The sequence below is a fragment of the Homo sapiens genome, chromosome 12 (genome assembly GCF_000001405.40).
Source record: "Homo sapiens chromosome 12, GRCh38.p14 Primary Assembly".
NCBI classification, from domain to species: domain Eukaryota; kingdom Metazoa; phylum Chordata; class Mammalia; order Primates; family Hominidae; genus Homo; species Homo sapiens.
Genome location: NC_000012.12, coordinates 98,849,543 through 98,871,902, shown reverse-complemented (window position 1 = coordinate 98,871,902; position 22,360 = coordinate 98,849,543). Strand labels below are relative to the sequence as shown.

The 22,360-nt window shown below is 41.0% G+C and overlaps 1 protein-coding gene across 73 annotated transcripts in view, besides 3 other annotated features; it reads left to right on the top strand.

Annotated features, from left to right (window-relative positions):
- Positions 1–22,360, top strand: part of ANKS1B (ankyrin repeat and sterile alpha motif domain containing 1B) — a 1,250,151-nt gene that overhangs the window by 1,113,034 nt on the left and 114,757 nt on the right. The window lies entirely within an intron of this gene.
- Positions 10,069–10,810: an enhancer, noted in NCBI's record as "OCT4-NANOG hESC enhancer chr12:99254871-99255612 (GRCh37/hg19 assembly coordinates)". NCBI's record gives its function as "activates a minimal SCP1, AML or CMV promoter by ChIP-STARR-seq in primed H9 embryonic stem cells {active_cell/tissue: H9 hESC(primed)}" and the evidence as "EXISTENCE:reporter gene assay evidence [ECO:0000049][PMID:30033119]".
- Positions 14,278–14,875: an enhancer, noted in NCBI's record as "OCT4-NANOG-H3K27ac hESC enhancer chr12:99250806-99251403 (GRCh37/hg19 assembly coordinates)". NCBI's record gives its function as "activates a minimal SCP1, AML or CMV promoter by ChIP-STARR-seq in naive H9 embryonic stem cells {active_cell/tissue: H9 hESC(naive)}" and the evidence as "EXISTENCE:reporter gene assay evidence [ECO:0000049][PMID:30033119]".
- Positions 14,876–15,474: an enhancer, noted in NCBI's record as "H3K27ac hESC enhancer chr12:99250207-99250805 (GRCh37/hg19 assembly coordinates)". NCBI's record gives its function as "activates a minimal SCP1, AML or CMV promoter by ChIP-STARR-seq in primed H9 embryonic stem cells {active_cell/tissue: H9 hESC(primed)}" and the evidence as "EXISTENCE:reporter gene assay evidence [ECO:0000049][PMID:30033119]".

The window sequence follows — 22,360 nt, the reverse complement described above, 5'->3', positions numbered from 1 at the left end:
CTGGGACATGTGACAGTGTACAAGCTTTTTCAGTACTGCATTGAAAGCTACATCACATTCATTGTCATTGCTAAAGTGATGAGATTTCACGTTGCTTAAATTCCAGTAATTTGTTCCCACTGTAGAAGATAAATTCTTGATTTAGATGGATCATCAATCTACATTATCTAGATGTAGATAAAGAATATGGTTTTTTTAATTAAAAAAAAACAGCTCCTCAAATGTGTAACTGCTTCTTGAATATCTTCTATGGAAAAATAATTTTGTGTTAAATATGAAAGACTTTGAAATGTCTTTTTATTTTCACTCATTAGTAATTTTTCTAGTATCTTCTTTGGTAGTCAACCAGAAAAGTTGTGTAATCATCAGAAGATGTTGGTTCTAATTTTCAGCTGAACCACTGATTTCTTTGTGATTTGTGCAAGGTATCTAATTTTTCTGAGCTTTTGTTTCCTCACTGGTCAAATGCAGATAACTATGTCTATATCAAGCTTATTTCATATTTTGTACTCTTATGTACTTTTCTATCGTAGAAATTATGTTATTGAATTAATATGTAAGACAGTACTTAGACTAAATATCAGAATTTACTTTTAAATATCAACATAAATCATGCTTTATGAGGGAAGAGAGAAAATTATGGATGATAGTATTTATGTGAGCAGAAAGTAATAATGTCTTGCCATAATGGGATTGATTTAGAAAAAAAGGAATTTGAAATTCAAAAGGAATAAGATATAAGAAAGTTTGCAGATCACTTACATTACATGAGGAAGAGGTTAAAATGTAGACCATTAAAGTCATTCTTAAGGAAAAATGAAAAAGACTTCTTTGAGGCAAATTTAGAAAAGGGAAAAAGACCTGACCTCAATTCAAAGAGGTGGGAAGAAATTTTTATCAGATGAGAAAGGAAGAAATGAAATGGTGGCACCTTCCCTGCCCCTACTCCCAGTCTGAATAATCAGAGGAATGACACAAGCCTGCACAGAATATGTCTCCTCTTACAAAATCATCTATAAGGGACCTTTCTTGTTACTGTCGGGCAAAGGCATTTTGTAAGCACCATCAGAGCCTGGTACGGCATTGAGTGTAGCACAAAGAAGGTTTGTCGTCCTGGGCCTGCCTCCTGGATGCTGACATAGATGCAGAAGGGTGAGATGGATAACGAGGCTGTGTGCTGGACAGAAGCTGACAGCCAAGTGTTTGCATTTGTTGTACAAGCTTTGTTAGCAGGAAGTGAAATGTGGTTAGGGCGTCACCACCTCGTTACCAGTTAATTGGGGAGGATGGAGTGGATGAGGTGGAATAGCAGGGGCTCAGCTGCTTTCCTCATCATCTCCCAGCTGGACTCCCTGCTGCCCTAATATCTTCTCCCAGGCAGGCCTGAAAGTGGTGGTTTATTTAAATAGCAAAGAAAAGAAAAGGGTGAGGGAGGGAGGAAAAGGAAGTAAAGAACACATGCTCCCCAAAGCTCTTCTCTTCAATTTGATTTCTGCCTATCTGGCAAAATAACTTCTGGGACCAACCACCTTTATTGGATTGTGGGCCTGGATCTGACTACCCCTCACTGCAGTGTATTACTGAAGATAGCTGCTAGTGAACCCTTCCACTGCTCTGGGAATGCATAGCTGACCAGAATCGTCATTTGCACAGTGATCCCGAAAGCACAGTAATAATCACAGCAAACATTTGTTTAAGCATTGTTCATGTGCTGGGCTCTTCTAAGTGCTTTAGATGTGTTATATCATTGAATTCACATTGAATCTTTCAAACAATTCCAGGAGCTGGGTACATTTCCATCTCCCTGTTACAGGTAAAGCAACTGAAGCACAGGCTCTCCCAAACCTGCTAGTGGCCATGCCAGAGCTGGGCTCCAGCACATTCCCTCTTAACTACTGCACCCCAAGTGAAAAAGTCAGGCAGATCTTGGCTATTGACAAGACTACTTTCTGGTTTTCAGGACATTTTGCCATATTCCATCATGTACTCTTCATGTGAAACAGAAGGTTTTATTATCTCCATTGTACAGAACAAAGTGAGGCTCACATTCAGGGAAGTTTGTTTTTCATGTTTTCAGTATTTTTTTAAAGGGGACAATTATGTCATTAACCTTTGAGATAATTTGGGAAATACCTTGTCTACATGGCTAAACATTAACATCTAAATGTTAACGTTTATATATATACATATATATACACACATACACACACATACATATGTATGCATTCCACACACAATTTTGTGTAATTTGTACCTTTGTAGCTCAAAATGAGAATATTGCAAAAATGTAATTAGATTGATGGCTACTGAAGACAGTTGTTACAATTCTGGAAGCCTCTAGGGTTCCAGGATTTTAGTTACTTTAATTTTCACCAGAAAAAGGAATTAAGTGCTGAATGACAGGCCTCAGGCATATCTTCGGGTTGTAACTCCATCCAGGGTCTCACAGTTCCTTTGTCACCCAGGTTGGCACAAGTCTTGTCCGGACTCAGGAGTTCTTGAACTCCCCAAAAGACTTCATCCTTCCCAGGAGTGTTTTGACTCGTGCCCAGTCCTCGTAGGGGAGCAGCTCACTCTTGAATGGGTGGAAAGTGGTGGTGGAGACAGAAACTTCATCCCAGGCCTTGGGTCTATTCACTTCTTAATAAATATGTATTGAATACCAAGCATGCATCAAGCACTGTGGAAGGAACTGGGGTATAATTAATGGTGAAAATAAAAAATTCCTTCCTCATGGAGCTTATGGTTTGAGTGTCTTTGGTGACATGTCTCAAGACAAGGCGGGGGTGTGCAAGGGCTACTTGGCCAAAGAACAAGCTACCATGGGACACATGGAGTGTTTTCAGGCTCTGGCATCCATATCTTCACTCCTTCCCAATCATCTTGTGCCCTTGGATACACCTAACATCTCCAGATCCTTCGTGGTTTTTTTCTACAAAACAGTTATAAAATATATCTCTCAAAGGACTCTTGAGGAGATAGATGAGAACAGTACATCAAGCTGCTAACAGAATGCCTGAAACAGAAAAGGTACTGAGTAAAGATTAGTTATCTGGCACAAAGTCCCCCACCCTACCCTTTATTTTAGGAACAGAGGAAAGAGCTCAGCTGGTGAGAGACTGGACAAATAGTAATCAATCAGGACAGCCCCCATTTGCTGAGCAATAATCAGATGGGGTCAGGTCTCATGCTAAGTGTGTTAGCAATGTCATTCCACTTTGTGGATTGACTTTTGGTGATTTCAACTCGACCCAGATTTTCTCTTCATTCCAAAAGATAGTCAACACATTCGGGGAAGTTTGTTGTTCGTGTATTTGGTATTTTCTTTAAAGGGGGCAATTCGTCATGTCATCAACCTTTGAGATAACTTGGGAAACACCTTGTCTACACAGCTAAACATTAACATCTGAATGCTTCATGCTCATTTAAAGCCATTAGAGGATTTTTTATTTTTTAAGATCTCTTTTCTAACATGTGCATCCTGCAAAAGATTTTGAAACCGTGTCTCTGCAATATGCACCATCCATGGATTCTTCCACCTCCAGACAGCTGGATTCCTAGTCTGCAACATGAGGCAAGCTACTCCTGGGACGTTCCAAGCAGCCCACACCTAACACCAGTGTTCCCGTTCCATGCGCAGCCCACACTTGGCACCTCTCCTCCAGCCCCCTCGGGCCCAGGGTGTGTTCTGCCTTGAATTACGGGTTTTTATCTATTTGAGTCTAGACTTTTCTCCTTCTAGACTCTGAGTGTCCAGAGCTGCTGAAACCTGTTTATTAATCAATCAATGCAGAATGTGTTTTAATCAGTGGTTTGATAGACAAACAGAGGAGACAGTCAGATGGAGGTGTTTGGGACTGTGGTGTTTAGATCGCTCCTCTGCTAAGAGAGGGCAGGCTTTCATGAATGAAATGTCTAAGCAAATGCAGGCCAGCTTCGAAGTTGGGTGATGCAGAGAATGCTTTACCTCCCATAAACGGCAGAAGCTTTACGAAGTAGTATCCAGAAAGAAAACTGACTTATATTCTTTTTTTTTTTTTTTGAGATGGAGTCTTGCTCTGTTGCCAGGCTGGAGCGTAGTGGTGCGATCTCGGCTCACTGCAAGCTCCTCCTCCCGGGTCCACACCATTCTCCTGCCTCAGCCTCCCAAGTAGCTGGGACTACAGGTGCCCGCCACCACACCCCACTAATTTTCTGTATTTTTAGTAGAGACGGGGTTTCACCAGGATGAAGCCAGGATGGTCTTGATCTCCTGATCTCGTGATCTGCCCGCCTCAGCCTCCCAAAGTGCTGGGACTACAGGCGTGAGCCACTGCGCCCGACAAACTGACTTACATTCTAAAAGACATAATTTGTTCTAAGAAGTTTATGAAAGAAATGAAGATGACAGCTGCCTTTTTCCTGCTGTTAGCTGCTGATTGCATTTGGTCATATTTCATTTTGATTCAGCTCTTTCCTCTCTGTAGGATATTACCATTACATTTTTGTGCCATTTTAGATTTTCTCTTGTTGTCACGTGTAGGAAATAGATTACATTTTTCTTGTCTGTGAAGCCAAAGAGATTGTTTTATTTGAAGATGGCCTCGCACTGTCTGGACTAAAGTACAAAAGAGATTAGGTGCCAGAAGAGTCTTTCCTTGAGATGTGATTTCTTGCAATGGCTCTAAAGAGGGATCAGAGTAATCCAGTTGACCTGGAAACTCATCCTAACCCATAGTCACTGGAGCAGCACAAATCATTACTCTACTCCTCTGGGTGGCTGCCTCATGGTTACAGATTCTGCTTCCATAAGAAATTCCTTTTTAGAGGAAGCTATGTACAGTTTCTGCATATAGTTTTTCCCTATTTATGCATCTATATAATCCTCACCTTTCCACATGGGGCTTATTTGTGTATTTGTTTATTCATTTGACCAAAACTTATGTAGTATCTCCTTATGTATCAAGTAAGGCTCCAAGTGCTGGGATATTTAAAAAGCATGATCCTTGCCCATATTCAAAACCTACTAGGGGAGCCCAAAAAATAAAGAGACTGTGAAGATACAGTATGAAATTGCTGCAGTAGAGATAGCCACACTCTTGTGGAAGCATAGTGGAGGGTACCTAAGCCAGAGAGAGGAAGGGCAGGAGGAACTTTCTGCAGGAAGCAATGTTGTATAGGGAAAGGGAAATGAGACTGAGCTGACCAGGCCATGCTTTCTAGCACGAGGAGGGTTGCAATGGGTAGCAAAAGAGATAGGTGTTTTATGAGGAGGAAGCAGTGTCCCAAAGGTGAAGGGTCCAGAGGGAACTTGGTGCATTTAGAGAATCTTATGTACAGACCTCTGGATAAGCGTCAAGGATGGGCGAGGTGATATTGTGATATTGCAGCAGTGGGCTGGAGCCAGGTGGGAGAGGGCTAAGCCCTCCCAATGTGCACATGTCAGCCTGTGGGCAGTGGGGAGCCATGGAAGAATTCTGATGAGGTGACATCTGTGTTTTTGAAAGGTCATTCTAGCTCGGTGTGGGAAGTAGGTGGGCATGCAGCAAGACCAGATATAAGAAAACCACTTAGGAAATCAGTATATTAATTTAGGTGAGAAGGCCCAGAGCCTAGATTGAGGTAGTAGCAGTGAGATGGACAGTTGGAGATTCACAGGAGTGCTGTAACTGAAGATTCGCAGAAGTGCTGTGACTGCTCGAGCAACATGCCAGGGACACTCTTGCTTTAGGGCCTACTTCGCTCAAAAAGGCCCTCTTTAGGGCCTTGCTTTAGATATGAACGTTTGTGTCTCCCCAGAATTTATATATTGAAATCCTAACTCCTAAAGTGATGGTATTAGGAGGTGGGGCCTTTGGGAGGGGCTTAGTACCTTAACAAGAACAACAACAACCTAGAGACACCCTCAGGCTCCCCCAACTTTTCTAACACTTGCACGTGAGGTTACAGTGAGAAGACGGCCATCTATTAGGAAGCATGCCCTCACCAGATACCGAATCTGCCAGCATCTTGATCTTGGACTTCCCAGCCTCCAGAACTGTGAGAAATAAATTTTTGTTGTTTTGAAGCTACCCAGCCAATGGCATTTTGTTATAGCAGCCCAAATGGATTAAGACAGGCCCTCTATACCAGCTATTGCCTTGACCCAAAGTGATTTGTCCCCAGATATCTGTGTGAGTCCCTCCCTCACCTCAAGTCTTGGCTCCAGTGCCATCTTCTCATTGAAGCATATCCTGACCACCATGTTTAACACTGCACACTCCACCTCCCCACCAACACACACGTCGATTCTTATCACCCTTTTCATGCTCTATTTTTCCCTGTCTCGTTTATTCACTTTCTAATATACTCTGTAAATTTAATTATTCTTATGTTCATGATCCTTCTCCCCTGCTAGAATATAAGCTCCATGAGGGCAGGAGTGTTTTTGTTTTACTTTGTCCACTCTTATATCCCAAGCTCTAGAATAATGCCAGGAACATAATAGCCACTCAGCTAACGCTTGTTAAATAACTGGATGGGTGATGGAATTGAAGATGAAAGAAGAGGCATGGATGATGCCAAATTTTCTTCCAGCTTGGGCAGATGAATGGGGAGGGGAGGGACATAATTTATCACAACAGGGACTAAGCAAGAGGAACAAGAAGTGGGGAAGGTGATGAGTTCTGCTTGAAACATTTGTCAGGCAATAAGATCGAGAGTCTGAAGATAGAAATGGGAGACCAGAGGAATAGCAAGAAAGATTTGGGGTGGTAGAGAGTAGGGGCTGACTAAGGACCATGAAAAGGTGTTCTGAGCGGTCTGAGGGCCCAGCCACATACAGTCAACCATTATGAATATGTACTGGCTGGTGGCAGGGCTTCTCTCCAGCAGAAAACAACAGTGAGGTTAGAGAAGGCACATGATTTGATTAGATGTTGAAGATTTACAAGGCGAGCAGAGGAAAGACAAAGGAGGTAGTATGCTGAAGATGAAAACAGTATCTTCAAGTTTATCCTGCCTAAGGAAGGAGGGATATCATAAATGGGATAAATGGCAGGGATGTAACAGAGAAACTGAGGGAATGGAGATTAGGATGAGGCCAAACAGCGTGTGTTCTGAGAGTCAGGGTGAGTGTTGAAGGGATGGAAAGAGGCAGGCAATTATCTTTCCTTCATCAGACAACAGATTTTTACTGGACACAGTATTAGGGTTCTCCAGAGAAACAGAACCACTAGGATGTAAGTATACATACATAGAAAGGTATGTTTTAAGGAATTGGCCCATGCAGTTATGGAGGCTGGCAAGTCCAGAATCTGCAGTTTGATCCCAAAGGCTGCCTGCTGGCAGAGTTCCCTCCTGCTTGCGGGAGGTCAGTCCTTTGTTCTACTCAGGCCTTCACCTGATTGGATGAGGCCCACCCACATTAGGAAGAGTAATCTACTTCACTCAAAATCTACCAGTGTGAACAGCAGTCTCATCCAAAAACATCCTCACAGAAACATCTGGAATAATGTTTGATCACATATCTGGGCACTGTGATCTAGCTGAGTAGACACATTAACCATCCCTTAGCCCAGTAGGGTGACTACTGTGTAGTTAACAACAGTATATTGTATATTTCAAAATAGCTAGAGGAGAAGACTTGAAATGTTCTCAACACAGAGAAATGATAAATGTTTGAGGTGATGGATATTCTAAACTTGATTGTTACAAATTCTATACATGTATCAAAATATCACACGTACCATAAGTATGCACAAATATTATGTATCAATAAACAAAATGGACATTTAAAAATGAAAAAAAAAAAAAGCATCACAGACACCTATTGTAGGCCAGGTCTTACTAGGGGAACAGTAGATAGTTCCTTCCTTCAAGGAACAGAGTCTTGGAGAGAACGCCAGCTCTTACGGTTATTGAAGTGAATAATACTGAGGACACAACAGTCAGCATGCTTCTAGGACACCTCCAGGAATATAAACTCGTGTTTATGTCTAAGGTAAATCTGTTGCCACGTATGCGTGTGTAAGTAATACAGACTATTAAAAGGTATTTGTCTGACCCAGTTATATCATCGACATCACGGTCAACTTTCTACCAAGATGACTGTGGGAAAAAATGTATTAATATATGTGGACTATTTCCTTACCTCTAGAATTTCTCTAGTTATATCTTTAGCATTTTGTTCATTACTGGCTAATGTACAAGTTTACTTCTGTTCCAGCTGGTCATTAGTGATCTATACTCAATATGAGAAAACAACATGATTTGTTTAATATCTATCAACTGATCTGACATAAAGAGTAACAGATTTTCTCTTTATATATAAGAATACCTTCCTCCCTACCAACATTGAACATATACAACCAACACACTTTATTCAATAAAAGGAGATAAACATATAATTTTCATGCACCCCATAAAGCAATTAAAAAATTTGTTGCCATAATCAGACTAATCAGGGTCTCCACCTAACCAGGCACACAGCACAGAAGCCTCACTTGGGTCACCTTCAGGGCCATTTGGGCTTTGCAGCTGACAAGGAACATCAGTACTCTAATTTGCATAGCTGGCGTCTCCCATTCATTGCCTGTGGAGAGCCTGTTAGCAGCAGAGGTCATAGAAGCTGGGATCCAGCCGAGCTGCAGAAAAACCCCACTGTTTTGTTCTTCTCAGGTGACGGAGGCCAGAACCTCTTTATTAGTCATTATGGTTAATAAACACTTACCATTAGGAGGAAGAGGTGAACTCTACTTACTGAATGTAAAAACTTAATTATGCAGGACAAGACTGGAATAGCTTGTGTCCGTGAAAATATCTGTAAAGCATGTCTTTGTGATAAAGGTATCCCAGTCACAAATAAGTCAAGGGCCTAAGAATTGGTGAGAACCCCCAGTGATGCGAATGGGTTTTACACAGAGTGCCTGTTGTAAATGTGTCAGGAGACATGTAGAATGATCTGTTGGTTTTCATGCAGAGACTATATTGGACCATGAAATGCAACTGTCTGTGGTAGAGATTTTTCATTTTATGCTGGGGCCAAAAACATTCTTTGGAAAAATATCCCTATCAAAATGCTTACTTTGCACCTCAAATTTCAGAACTCTAAATGTGCCCTGAATGTGTATAATATATAAAGCAAGATTGTCCTGAACAGCTTTTTTATGGGGCATGTGGGTACAGAGGGGATGTGCATTATTGATTCCTACTTGAGAGTAAGAACCTATATTATTGGGATTCAATGAACCAGTTTTCAGAATGTCGCACTGGTTCATATGAATGCATTTCCCCAGTATCTAAAAGTCAGTCATTGCTAAGTTACATTATTTGAGCAAAGGGTTTTACATAAAGTGTCTATTTGAATTTATTGATGAAATTTCATATTCTCATGGTGTGTTGGGAAGCTGAGACCCCGCTACTCATGTAAGTAACAATTACATAAAATTATTTTTCAATTTTTTTCTAGTAATAATAATAATAACTGTTAGCTACATTGAGTGTTCACTATGTTCCAGTCACTGTGTAAGTACTTTGCATAGATCAGCTCATTTAATTCTCACACAAACAACCCTTTGAGAATGGGATTATTACTGTTCCCATTTTATAGATGAGAGAACTGAAATGTAGGGAACCATAAATAACTCTCCCGCAATACATGGCTGAGAAGTGGTAGGCTGGGTTCTGAACCCAGGATGACTGACCCTAGGGCCTGTACTCTTATACAATATCAAGGTCAAGTCATTAGTTTTATTTTAAGAAAAGGAAACTTTAATGTCAGCATAACCACACCAAAATCTTACTACACTGAGGGATGACAAACACAATTTAGAGAAAAAGCAAACTGACCCAAACACTTACCTTTAGAAATTGATATGGCAAATCTGTCACTCTAAAATCATGGCTGAATTTTTAAAAAGAAAGAAAATGAGGTTTGAAATACTAATAGCATTTTAAACATATGGAAACAGGAAGGTAAAAAAAAACTCATCTGTCATAAGAGAACACTCACCCCAAAATGGCAGTGTTACTTTGGATCATTCTTTTCAAAGTGTGAATCTCAAAAACTGTGATTTGTGGTGGGAAAAAGCAGCATATCAGAGCTCAGAAGCCCCAGGATTCAGCCCCAGTTTTTCTGTTAACTGTGGGTGACCTTGAGCACATCTCTGTTTTCACAAACTTAAAAATCTTTTTTTCTAGTAATCACCAGAGTTCATGCCAGCTCTAATATGTTATGAATATCTTCAGACTAGAAATTAGTCCAGAACTTTTGCATGCTATCTTAGGATCAAAACTAATTAAGTTCTTTTCTAAGATGATTATTGTGGGCTTTTTCTTGCTGATGAAATCAACAGCTGGCAAACATCATTTTTCTTCAAACATTGTTAATTGATCACATTAACTCCTCCATTCCAGGCAATCAGTGGTCATTTGCTGAGCGAAGCTAGTGAAGTCTTCTGTTTCTCCCCAAGAAGGCACTGTCAAATCTCATCCACACAGTAGGAGAGCCATCTGGAGCCATTAGAACAATAAGGGTGATCTATTAAATCAACAACACCCTTCCTTCCTTCTTTTGTTTTTTTCCAAGACACTAAATGGCTTTTCTCTTTATATCAGAAACTGGACTCCAAGAAGTGCGCCCCCTCAGCCCTAGAAAAATGATATGAGAAATGGCAAAATCAAGATTGGAGCCTGATCCATCTATATTAACAGAGTTTATGCAACTATTTCATAATTTCCAGCTCTTGGCTGGAAAATTATGAAATACTAGCATAAACTCCGAAGGGGAAGCTGTCTTAATTTTACCTTAAGAGACTCTTGTATGGAAGTTTGGGGTCCTTCCCGCCTACCTAACTCTGGAGGGGAGAAAGGGTCAGGAATTTTTGAGTCTTTCATTTTACCACGCATCTGTCAATAATCTTTTTATAGTGACTTAAAACCACTCTCTTCCCATTGTCCCCTCACCTCTCAAAAACAAATTATATCAATGAAGAGGAAATGAGAGTAATTTTTGCTTCAGGCCATTAGAGAAAAAACTGAGGAAGTCTTTTTCTTTTTTTTAATTTTAGTTTAAGTTCCAGGATACCCGTACCGGACTTGCAGATTTGTTACATAGGTAAACGTGTGCCATGTTGGTTTGCTGCACCTGTCAACCTGTCACCTAGTTATTAAGCCCAACATGCATTAGCTGTTTATCCTGATGCTCTCCCTCCCCCTGACCCCTGACAGGCCCCAGTGTGTGTTGTTCCCCTCCCTGTGTCCATGGATGGAGCTGGAAACCAGTATCCTCAGCAAACTAACACAGTAACAGAAAACCAAACACCGTGTGTTCTCATTTATACGTGGGAGGTGAACAACACAGAGTCTTTTTCAATCCACCATTAATGGTGTGGCTCTCTGCTTCCATTGACGGGCTTATAATGTCTGGCTCTTTTTTTATTTTTGCCTTCTAATTTTGTGCATATTTTGGATGAGGGCTGTAGTGTGCTTGTCTATCAAGGTTTAATGAAGATATTAATATTCACTTAGTAAGCACAAGGCCTGCTTGTGTCTCTAAGGAGCAGAGATAGACAACAAAGGGTCAAACTTACTGAACCAGAATAATAGCACTTTTTCCTAAAATTCAGAGGCCCCAGTTTGAAGAGCTGACACAGGACAGCTTCAGCATGCAATGCGAAATTTGTGGTCCCTTTCAAATTCCTTTGTTCATAGAATATATTTCAGTGTATGTGTTTGGCATCCAGGTGTGAAAGGATGTGTATCAGGATATTCAGGTCTTTGAAAACATATAGGTTTTTAAATCTTTAAGATTGCAGAATTTCATACATACATTAACAGAACAGGTTTTTTGAAATCATCTCGGAACGAGAGAAAACGTGAGTAGCCTATGTGAAACATATGGTAAGAACTGTTCATTCCATTTGCATTTGTTTCTGGGAGCTGTACTTATTGCAGCTTATAAAATCAATTCAATTTAACTTCTGTTTGTCTGTGCAATAAAGTTTTTTTCCTGTGTAATAAAGAAAATATGAGAGCCCAAAACAGGGATGTGAAAATTTTTTCGCAAGTCAAGACATCAGTGTATTGACTCAAATATGAGCAAGACTGAAAAGCCTCCCTCCCAAAAGGCCAAAAATTTAGAGAGCTTTCCCATTTTGCTTACAGTGATCTTAAGAAAAATGTGTAAATGTCAGTTAATTAGAAGACCACACAAACCTATACTTTTATATCTCCTGGGCTGTATCGATTTAAATGTTGTTTCATATATTATCTATTTGATTTTCATAAACTAAAATGCATAAAGGTAATTTATTTTTCCTGTTGTTACCACTGAGTCAACATCCAAATTATACCTTTCTGATAAAATTCTCAATCTAACAAGTCCTTTCTGTTTGTTGTTATTCATAGATTTACTTCTGATCATTATTAATCACAGCTTATGTACTCAATCACTGTAAACTGTTCATAATGGCTTATTTGTGGCTCTTAGGTTTCCTTTAATCTCCCCGCACTGAATTACAGTAAAACTCATTTGTTGGCATCATTAAATGGTTGATTAATGCCCAGGTTTAAAATTGTTAGTCTTTTCTTATTTTTATAAAGGCCTGAAAAATCAAGATTTGCTGCTCTTGCCAGAAACCAGGGAGAAGTTTCAAAATATTTCTCTTTGAAGACTTGGGCTCTGATACCATCACATATGTGAATGCTCTATTGAAGTCATTTTTTGTAACTTGAGTTCCTATTGCTGCCTATTCTTAGCTGTAGGGTCAGAAATCCTGGCGTTATATCCAAAATCTCTTCTGGAACCCAGCACTTGTGTGATTCGGGAATCAAACTGGTTCACAAGGGCAAGAATGTCTTCTACAAAGTATATTCCAACAAACTACACACAGCGTTCCTTTAGCCAATAGAAAATCCATGAAAATAAGGATTTACCCACCTGCCTGAAATCTTAGAAAGACACAACAACCCTAAGAGAATCCGGAAGTCTTCTTAATGTAAATCGATAATATAAGGTGATAATGTATGTTCCTCTCTCATTTTACAGAGAACAAATGACTCACAAGATTTGCCTTTTCAAAGAAAATTGAGAGAAGTGCTAAGGTTGTGTTTAGTTAGATCTTCCAGAGAGCATACATTGGACATCACAGCTTCCAGTAGTGCCAGAGAAGTGTTCTATCCCTGCTCCATGGCTCCTTATTGCCCATGGAGTGAGGGTCAGATTCCTTAGCAACATATACTCTAACCCCAGCCTGTTCTTCCATACCTATCTCTCAAAGCTCTGCTAAAAGAATTTCCTCTTGAGACTGGGCATGGTGGCTCACTCCTGTAGTCCCAACACTTTGGGAAGCTGAGGCGAGCGGATCACTTGAGCCCAGGAATTCAAGACCAGCCTGGGCAACATGACGAAACCCCATCTCTACAAAAAATACAAACAGCCAGGCATGGTAGCATGGGCCTGTGGTCCTAGCTACTCGGGAGGCAGAGGTGGGAGAATGGCTGAGCCCAGGAGGTCAAGGCAACAGTGAGCCATGATCTCAGCACTTCGCTGAAGCCTGGCTGACAGAGCAAGACACTGTCTCAAAATTAAATGAACAAATAAAAGAAGCCTCTCTTACATTCATCTGACCAGCTTTTCCTCTGAACATACTTACCTTTCTCTTCTACTCTAAACTATGATTTTTTCATTGACTCAAGAGCTCTCTTTTTCAGGACTATAATCTAGAGCTGTCTTTTCAGAGAAATCATCCCATTTGCTTATGGAGAGCACCAGAGTACATAGAGTAGGTCCCAACTGTGACCTGAAGACCCTGGGGATGGGGGCGGAGGAGGAGGTAGAAAGTACAATGGAATTATTAAAACCAGTACACAAACCTGTCTGTGCGACAAACATTATCGGGAACCTGAGTAAAACTAAAAGTATAACTATAGTTACATGGACCAGCTATGAAATATTTTAACATTAAGAAAGAAAAACATACCCAAAAAGATAAGACTACACCATAGTGTGTTACACAAAATATAGCTACATACTTCTTTGTCAAGCAGTTAATAAACGTACTTTTCCCTCTGAACATTCATATTTTAGGAACCATTCATTTAACTTCCTGTGCTTTGAAAAGATGTATGATGTCTTTACATCTTCAACTAGCTTATAAATACCTTGAGTTTAGAAGTTTTGAGTTTAGAAATATTATATTTACTGACCCCCATAAATAGTTCTTGAAATATTCATTTTAATGCTTCTTAATCCTCTACCCTAGCCACCTTCATTCATTTATTCATTCATTCATTTATTCATATTTATTCAACCAGTGACATTGCCTCCCACTACACCGAGAGCATGAAGGTAACAAGGCATGTTCTGTTAGAACGTACTGTCTCTTCTTCTCTAGACTTATCCAAGTAACACCCAGACTCACCTACTCAGAGAAACATGTGTCCCTTTTTATCTCCAAAGCCAATAACTCCATCTGTGCTCTGGGTCCCTTCCCACTCTCCCTCCTCAAGCTCAATCAGTTCTCTCTCTCTAGCCTCAAGGCCCCCTGCAATGTAACCACAATTCCTGGCTGCCGAGGTCATTATGTCCCAGCAGTATCCAAATAGCTGCAATTCTCCAAGCATTGCTCACACCGTATCCCACTCCTCTCATGCAGGTGCATTGGCCTAGAATGCTTTTACATCTCCTCTTCCCTGTGAACAGCGTCCTCTAAGACCTCGCTTAAAATATCCTCACCTCTTTGAAAATGTCTTTGGTCTTCTTAGAAGTAACTACTTCCTCCTCTGTGCTCCATGGCATGTTGTCCTTTCATATAGGATTAATCACAGCCCTCTTGTGTCTGTGTGTGCTTCCCCTGTGACTAAGAACTCACTGTGTGCAGGGGTTATGTCAGGAATCATTGTGTGCAGGGGTTATGTCTTAGGAATCATTGCCTCTCCATTGTATGGCTTGCTCACATAGTTGATATTTTAACAAATGTTTGTGGAGTAATACTGCTTTTTTTCCCTCTCACCAGGTATTAAGTAAACCCCAGCAGTGTTTACTTAATGAAAGTGAACACTCATGTCATACCCTGTCATTTGTGTTCTCTAGTTCTTTTGATGATGCACCTTCCTATTGATTCTTCTAGACACAGAAGATTCTGCTTTAAAAACTGTTTGGGCTCTTCCTTTTTTGTCCCCAGCTAGTGTCAAGCATCTGTCCTCCTAGGCTCCCAGAGGTTATTCAGTATCTCCCTGAGGCTGCTGTCCCCCATATCCTCATCTTATGCCACCCTAACTTCTAGAAGGAAGAGACAGACAAACACTGACCACTCTCCTCACCATCACATTAAATAGCAAAACAGAAGAGAAGGGGAACACTTATTAAGGCTGCACCCAACTCATGCACACACACATGAAATCATCTGTTTGTTAACAAATCAGTCTTCATGCATATAATCAACACATTAAATGCCTTCAATAGGCCTATGAAGTTGGTATTATCTCCATTTCACAGATGAAGAAACTAAAGCTGAGAAAGATGAATTCTTTCCCTGAGATTCAACCTGTACATATTAGAGCTAGGATTCAAACCTAGGTCTGCCTCAAATCAAAGCCAGTGAGCTCTCTATTACTGGTACCGAGAATGGGTTCAAAAATAAGGAGAATGGGTTACCATTAGTGAGTGTATGGCTTATATATGTATAGCTATAATTTCTGGCAGATTATTCATAGCTACACTGTATATACATCATAAAATGCAAATTATTCACTAAACCATGATGTAGCAGGCCTCAGATATTTTCCTAGCCACTGATATATGCACCTCACAGAAAGATATTGTTTGCTGAGGAATTATTTAATTTATATTTGCAACCTTCCGTCTAAACAATGGACACCCCATGATTCAGATAAGAAAATCAAGGACCAGAAAAGAGCAGACCAGAGAAAGTCAGAATGCTCTAGTCTCAGAGCATGACCCTAGCCTGGGCTTTAAAGCATAGGTCTGAGAAAGACAGCGCATCAACCTGTTTGTCTTGGAGACGCACAGTTGACACTCTCCGTAGTTAAGGATCCCAAACAACAGACTAATTTGGAAGAGACACAAAGTTTGTATGACAATGCCAGTAGTAAAAAAAAAGGGAGAAGGACAACAAGGACATTTTGCAGTTTACAAACATTTGAAGACCTTGTTTTTTTAAAAAAAATCACTGGCCAAGAGCCAGTTTGATTTTCGCATTCCCATTTTCCCAGCTTTTCACATTGATGATGTATTTGTATAGTCCCAGCTTTTAAGCCAGTACAATCCTAAAAATCATATATGGATAGAATTATGAAAAACAGTTTATTTTATCCTGCGTATATTTTCTTCATTTATTAATAGTGTACTTACTGAGTACCTACTGTATTCCAGGTACTCCATATAGTTCTGGTGAAGAACCAGAAGTGATCATTTTTAACATCGTAAAATTAAATATGTTTCCGAATATGCTTCTATTTTCAAAAAATAATGAATAAGCACATTAGGCAGCAATAAATGACATGTGGGTAAATTTAAGGCACTGGAGTCCTTCAAGATCAGCAGATCAGCAAAATATACCACCAGAAGAACAGGTTTTGGCCCTCTAAATATGGCCACTGCCTCCTTCAACTCTCTTGACAGGCATAGCCAGGATATAGAATTTGAGTACCTTTGTTAGAATTGTCAACGAAGATATTTACTGAAAAATAAGTATTTTGCAAGAAGGGAATTTGTAAGGAGATGGTTTCTTAAGAGATTTTTTTTTTTTTTTTTTTGAGACGGAGTCTCGCTCTGTCGCCCAGGTCGGACTGCGGACTGCAGTGGCGCAATCTCAGCTCACTGCAAGCTCCGCTTCCCGGGTTCACGCCATTCTCCTGCCTCAGCCTCCCGAGTAGCTAGGACTACAGGCGCCCGCCACCGCGCCCGGCTAATTTTTTGTATTTTTAGTAGAGACGGGGTTTCACCTTGTTAGCCAGGATGGTCTCGATCTCCTGACCTCATGATCCACCCGCCTCGGCCTCCCAAAGTGCTGGGATTACAGGCGTGAGCCACCGCGCCCGGCCAAGAGATTTTTAAAAACTTTATTCAGATTAAAATTGTCTGATGGGAAATGAGTGAAATGTTGAATGACTGCCATTTCAGTTGACACTGAGGAGGTAAAACTACCCTTCCCCTAATTCTGCTTCTCAATGGAAAATACACCCCATCTCTTGGAGGCTAGCATTTCTGCAATGCTATCCTGCCTTTAGAAATACGTTCCTGGCACCTAAAAGGTGTGTAAGAAATGCATAAGAAATGACATTGCAAAAAGCAATTTAGAATGATATTCTAAACAATTAAGTCTAGGCTTTGGCTCCATGGTGAAGGGAGTGCAAGTGTTAAAATCTAACAGACTTGCATAACCTCCCTGAACTTGTTTCCTTCTTTGTAAAACAGGGGATGGTGTTGCTTTCCATACAGGTTGTAAATTGCGCATAAAGCCTGGCTCATAAATGAGTCCTATGTGATTTTTCAGTCATATTACTAAATATCATCTACTCATTTTAAATCTCAAGGATTTATTTCAGTGGTAGATATGGAGGAGAACAAATGCATTTCCAAAACTTCCCATGCCCCAAAATATGTAAATTGTTCCATACAGTACCATTTCCTGGAGTAGTTTCTATTCCCACCCGTGGCTGGTTTCCCCTAGGAGTCGCACCACCCACTGAATGGTTCAAACACTTTCCTGGTCTACATTAAGCAACTGTGAGTCCTTCTGTCTGCACAATTATTTTTATGTGCCATGCATATTTAACTAGGAGACCAAGGAACCTACTCCAAAGTTGAGGAATAGTGATACTTGTGTTCTTCTCCTTTGGGGCTGTGTGTGGACCATTGACTCATGTGGTTTGCATGTCTTGCTGATGAGTCCAGAGGGGTGGGCCCAGTCCACATGTGAGCCAATCCACGGCTCCATCCCTGGTCCCAGATCATAATGAAGCCTGATTATGGAACAACAGCCCCCGAGTGCTGAGGGGGCCTTCTGCTTTCCTGTCGGTTGTCCCACCATCTCAGGTTTAGGTCTGTTTGTTCATTAAAACAACAGTTAGACCCTGAATGCCTACCACATGCCAGCCCCATGCTAGATGCTGGGCTGAATAGAGTTGACATGCTTTGTGCCCTCAAGCCTACAGTCTGGTTTGAGAGGGAGGCACAGATAACCAAACAAGCAAATGTGTGATTATAAATTCTGAAAGGAACCACATGAAAAATGACAGAGTGCAGTGATAGAGAGTAGCAGGGGGGATCTATTTAACTAGGGCAGTCACAGGAGGCCTCTCCCAGCGTGGCACCTAAGCTGAAAACTGAGTGGGAAGAAGAAGCCAGCCATTTAAAGAGCAAAGGGAAGAATGCAAACACCGAAAGTTCTTGTAGTTACATACAGTGAGCCCCTTCCTGCTGGACACTGTGGCTACAGTGAGGATGTGGGATAGAGCCTCTGCTCAGCATGCTTACGTTGTGATGGGCCAAGAGACACATCATCACGCTCTCCATGGGCCCTCGGTGGTGTTCAGAGGCTTTGCAGAACAAGGAGGAAGCACATATAATTCCTGCTCCCCAGTTAGGGGCCACTCTACCAAGTCCCTGATGGAACTCTGCAGACAACTGATAGGAATTTAGGTTTATTTTTGAAAGAGGAGTGAAAGCCGTCAAGTTGTAAACTCTGCCTTTGGAAGGCAAAATTCATTCTTTCCCCATACCTCAAACCCGGGTTTTCATATTTTAGGAAGACTGACCCCTAAAGACAGAAAAACCTCAACCTGCTCCCTGAACCATAGTTGGAAAGAGGCTGTTGCCAGTCAAATGGTCCTAAGACAGTATCCAGCTTCTGTCATCTTTTACAGTGTTCTAGAATTCCTTAACAAGAATCTGAACATATTTTTCTTCTCATTTTTGATATCACCTTGTTTTTATAGAACGCTTTATATTTTTCAAAAGATTTCTCACATCTTTTTGGATCCTCATAGGGACTCTGTGAATGAGGAAGACAGATTTGGAGTATCGATGAAGCAGAAAGTTAACAGAAGTTAGGCTTTGGTTCCTTTGCAAAGTACTCACCCTGCACCCCCGAGCCTTCTAAATATGGAATATATCATATTCCAAATGTTCATTTTAATGGAGGAGGCAATTTGATGGATGGAGGGGGGGAAAAAGCTCAGGCTTTGTGGCAGAAAGATACGTGTTTTTAATGTGGGCTCTGCCACCTCGCTAATGTGTCATCTTGAGCCCCAGTTTCCCCACCTGTAAACAGGGATAACAATATCAAACTCATAGTCCGTGGGGATTAAACACAGTAAAAAGGAAAACACCCAGCTCAGTGCCCATGTGAGGGTTCTTTGTCCTCCCTTGCCCACTTTTTCTCAACACTCCAAGAGGCTAAACCCAGCAGATGCATAGAAAGTAGTACTCCCAGAGCCTCATGTTCCCTGCCAACCCTGTTCTTCCTCCTTTCTACTTGATTGCAGAATTTGGCAACACCATCTTCCCAAGCCTAATTTCCAGAGTCATCCTTAAAAAAACCTCCCTCTCCTTTAACGCCTACATCTGGTACTCACCAACCCTGCTGTTTCTGCCGCCTAGAGATTTCTCAGATCTGCTCCCTCCTCCCATTGCCATTCATTTATTCATTCAGCAACTATTCATTGAGCACCCACTGCAAGTAGCCACTATGTTGGACCCTGGGAATTTAGTAATGAACAAGTTCTAATTGCTGAGCCTTATCCTCACTATTTGAATTATTTCCCTTTCCTGGCCTGTGGACAGTGCCTCCCCACTGCAGCCCATTCTCAATATTGGCATCAGAATTATTGTTATAAACCAACTCTGCCATCATCATCCTTTCCCTCCTTTTTTTTTTTTTTTTTTTTTTTTTTTTGAGATGGAGTCTCGCTCTGTCACCAGGCTGGAGTGCAATGGCACAATCTTGGCTCACTGCAACCTCCACCTCCTGGGTTCAAGCAATTCTGCTGCTTCAGCCTCCTGGGTAGGTGGGACTACAGGCGTGCACCACCATGCCCAGCTAATTTTTGTATTTTTAGTAGAGATGGGGTTTCACTGGGTTGGCCAGGATGCTCTCGATCTCTTGACCTCGTGATCCACCCACCTCAGCCTCCCAAAGTGCTGGGATTATAGTCATGAGCATCCTTTCCCTTCTTTAAAACCTTGGTTGGTTTCCTGTCTACTTCAACATAACAGAAACAGCTTGTATTTACCGAGTATACACTATATGCTGGACATCTTTCCAAGCACTTTACACGTATTTTCTAATTTGTTTAAGTTGAAGACCAAATTCCTTTTGAAGGCTCTTAACAATCTGGCTCTGACCCACCTTCATATCCCCCAGTCCTGCTACTCACACATATGGTTCCCCCTTAGCAAAATTAATAGGGAACTAAGTAAAATTTTGAAACCATAAACAGACATGTCCTGTTGTGTCCTTGCACACGTCTGAGACTGCACACGGTGTCTCCTCTGTGTAGAATCGCCTTCCTATAGCTCTTTACTTGGAAATCTCCTTCTCAGCCCTGAAGCCTGTCTTCTATTCCGTGAGGCCATCCCCAGCTCCCCAGGTAGAGATTGCCACTCCCTACTTTTCACACCACTCTGAACCTACTCCCTAAGAGCATCTGTCACTTCATCTTCCCCACTAGGCCCAGAGCTTCTCAAAGCAATAAGTATGTCCTGTGCATTTTTGTGTGCTCCTAACCAACTTAACATCAGCCATCACATTCCACCCTCAATGTGTATTTGCTGAAGGAATGAATGGATGGATGAATGTGTACTACTGTGGGCTGCATTGTTTGTAGCTCCCATCAAGGCATGACTCTCAAAATAGAAGCTGCCAGTAGGAACTTAGAACTGTAGTACTGTAGCAGTTCTGTCAAAGACTCAGTGACCAACTTTTACAAAACATGCTGCGGTTCTTTAATAAGCCCTCTTCCTTTAGTGTTTTGCATATTAGGTAGCAAAAGTAATAGAACTCTGTGCCTAGTTAAAGCATTGTTCCTTTTTCTGCATAAGGTTAGGTCTTGGCTGGCCTGGGTGCTGTGAAAATGGGAGCATTGGCAGGCTGGGCAAAGAGAGTTGGAGAGAATCTTTTTTTTTTTTTCCATCTTAAAAATTGCCTCTCTGGGCCGGGTGCGGTGGCTCACGCCTGTAATCCCAGCACTTCGGGAGGCTGAGGCGGGCGGATCACGAGGTCAGGAGATCGAGACCATCCTGGCTAACACAGTGAAACCCTGCCTCTACTAAAAATACAAAAAATTAGCTGAGCGTGGCGGCGTGTGCCAGTAGTCCCAGCTACTCAGAAGGCTGAGGCAGGAGAATGGCGTGAACCCAGGAGGCAGAGGTTGCAGTGAGCCGAGATCACGCCACTGCACTCTGGCCTGGGCGACAGAGTGAGACTCCGTCTCAAAAAAAAAAAAAAAAAAAAAAAAAATGCAATGCTTCTCTGGTCTCCATCAACTACATTTTGTGGAAAACAATGTATAAGCCTCCAAAGGAAGCCATCTGCCCAAATTTTTATCCAAGATCACACTGAACTCTTGGAAAAGCAGTATCTGCTAAAGGCACTTATAATTTCTCATATTTGATATCCAAATTACCCATCTTGCAAAAAGTCTCCAATTGTGGGATATATGACAATAGACCAGGAAGTACGGCAACAAGAAGCTCTTTTACTTCCTCAGACGTAATTTAACAAAGACATAAAGAACAAAAGGTACTTTTGAAATTGATTTTTTTTCATTTAATGAAGATAAGAGTTTTAAATAGTGTGTCATGGGGTTGTCTGTCTGTCTCTGTGTTATTTGGAAGTCACATAAATTTTCTGCAGGCAGGATTTAATCATCAGGTAAACGGAAGTAATCAGACAAAGCCCATTTATTCTGTTGTCTTCATGATCAATTTAGATCCTCCAGCTTCCTAATAAATTGCTTGGCAGTCAGTCCAAATTAACCAAAGACATACATCTATTTGACCTTGTATATAGACAAGAAATTAGCCATGAGGCCATTCCAAGGGATAAGTTGAAATTCAAAGTTTAAATACTCTTGAATTTAAGCCCTTTTGTATTGAAGTGAATATCTTATAAAATCTTTCTCCCTGCAAAAATCCTCATAAATGGGAGCAGGGTTACTCTTTTAAAATTAAGACGGTCTTTTTCTGCTTCTACTTGACTAGAGATTTTGCAAATAGCAGTGTACCTGATTTTAAAATAGAAAAAAAAAGTATTTGAAAACTTATATTTTATTAAGTTCCTAGCTAGATGCAAAACTTTTTTCTCTGAAATTCATGATTTAAATTACTCGGGTTTTGGTTTGCTCAAATGCAGTCTTTTTTTAGGAAACAAAAAAC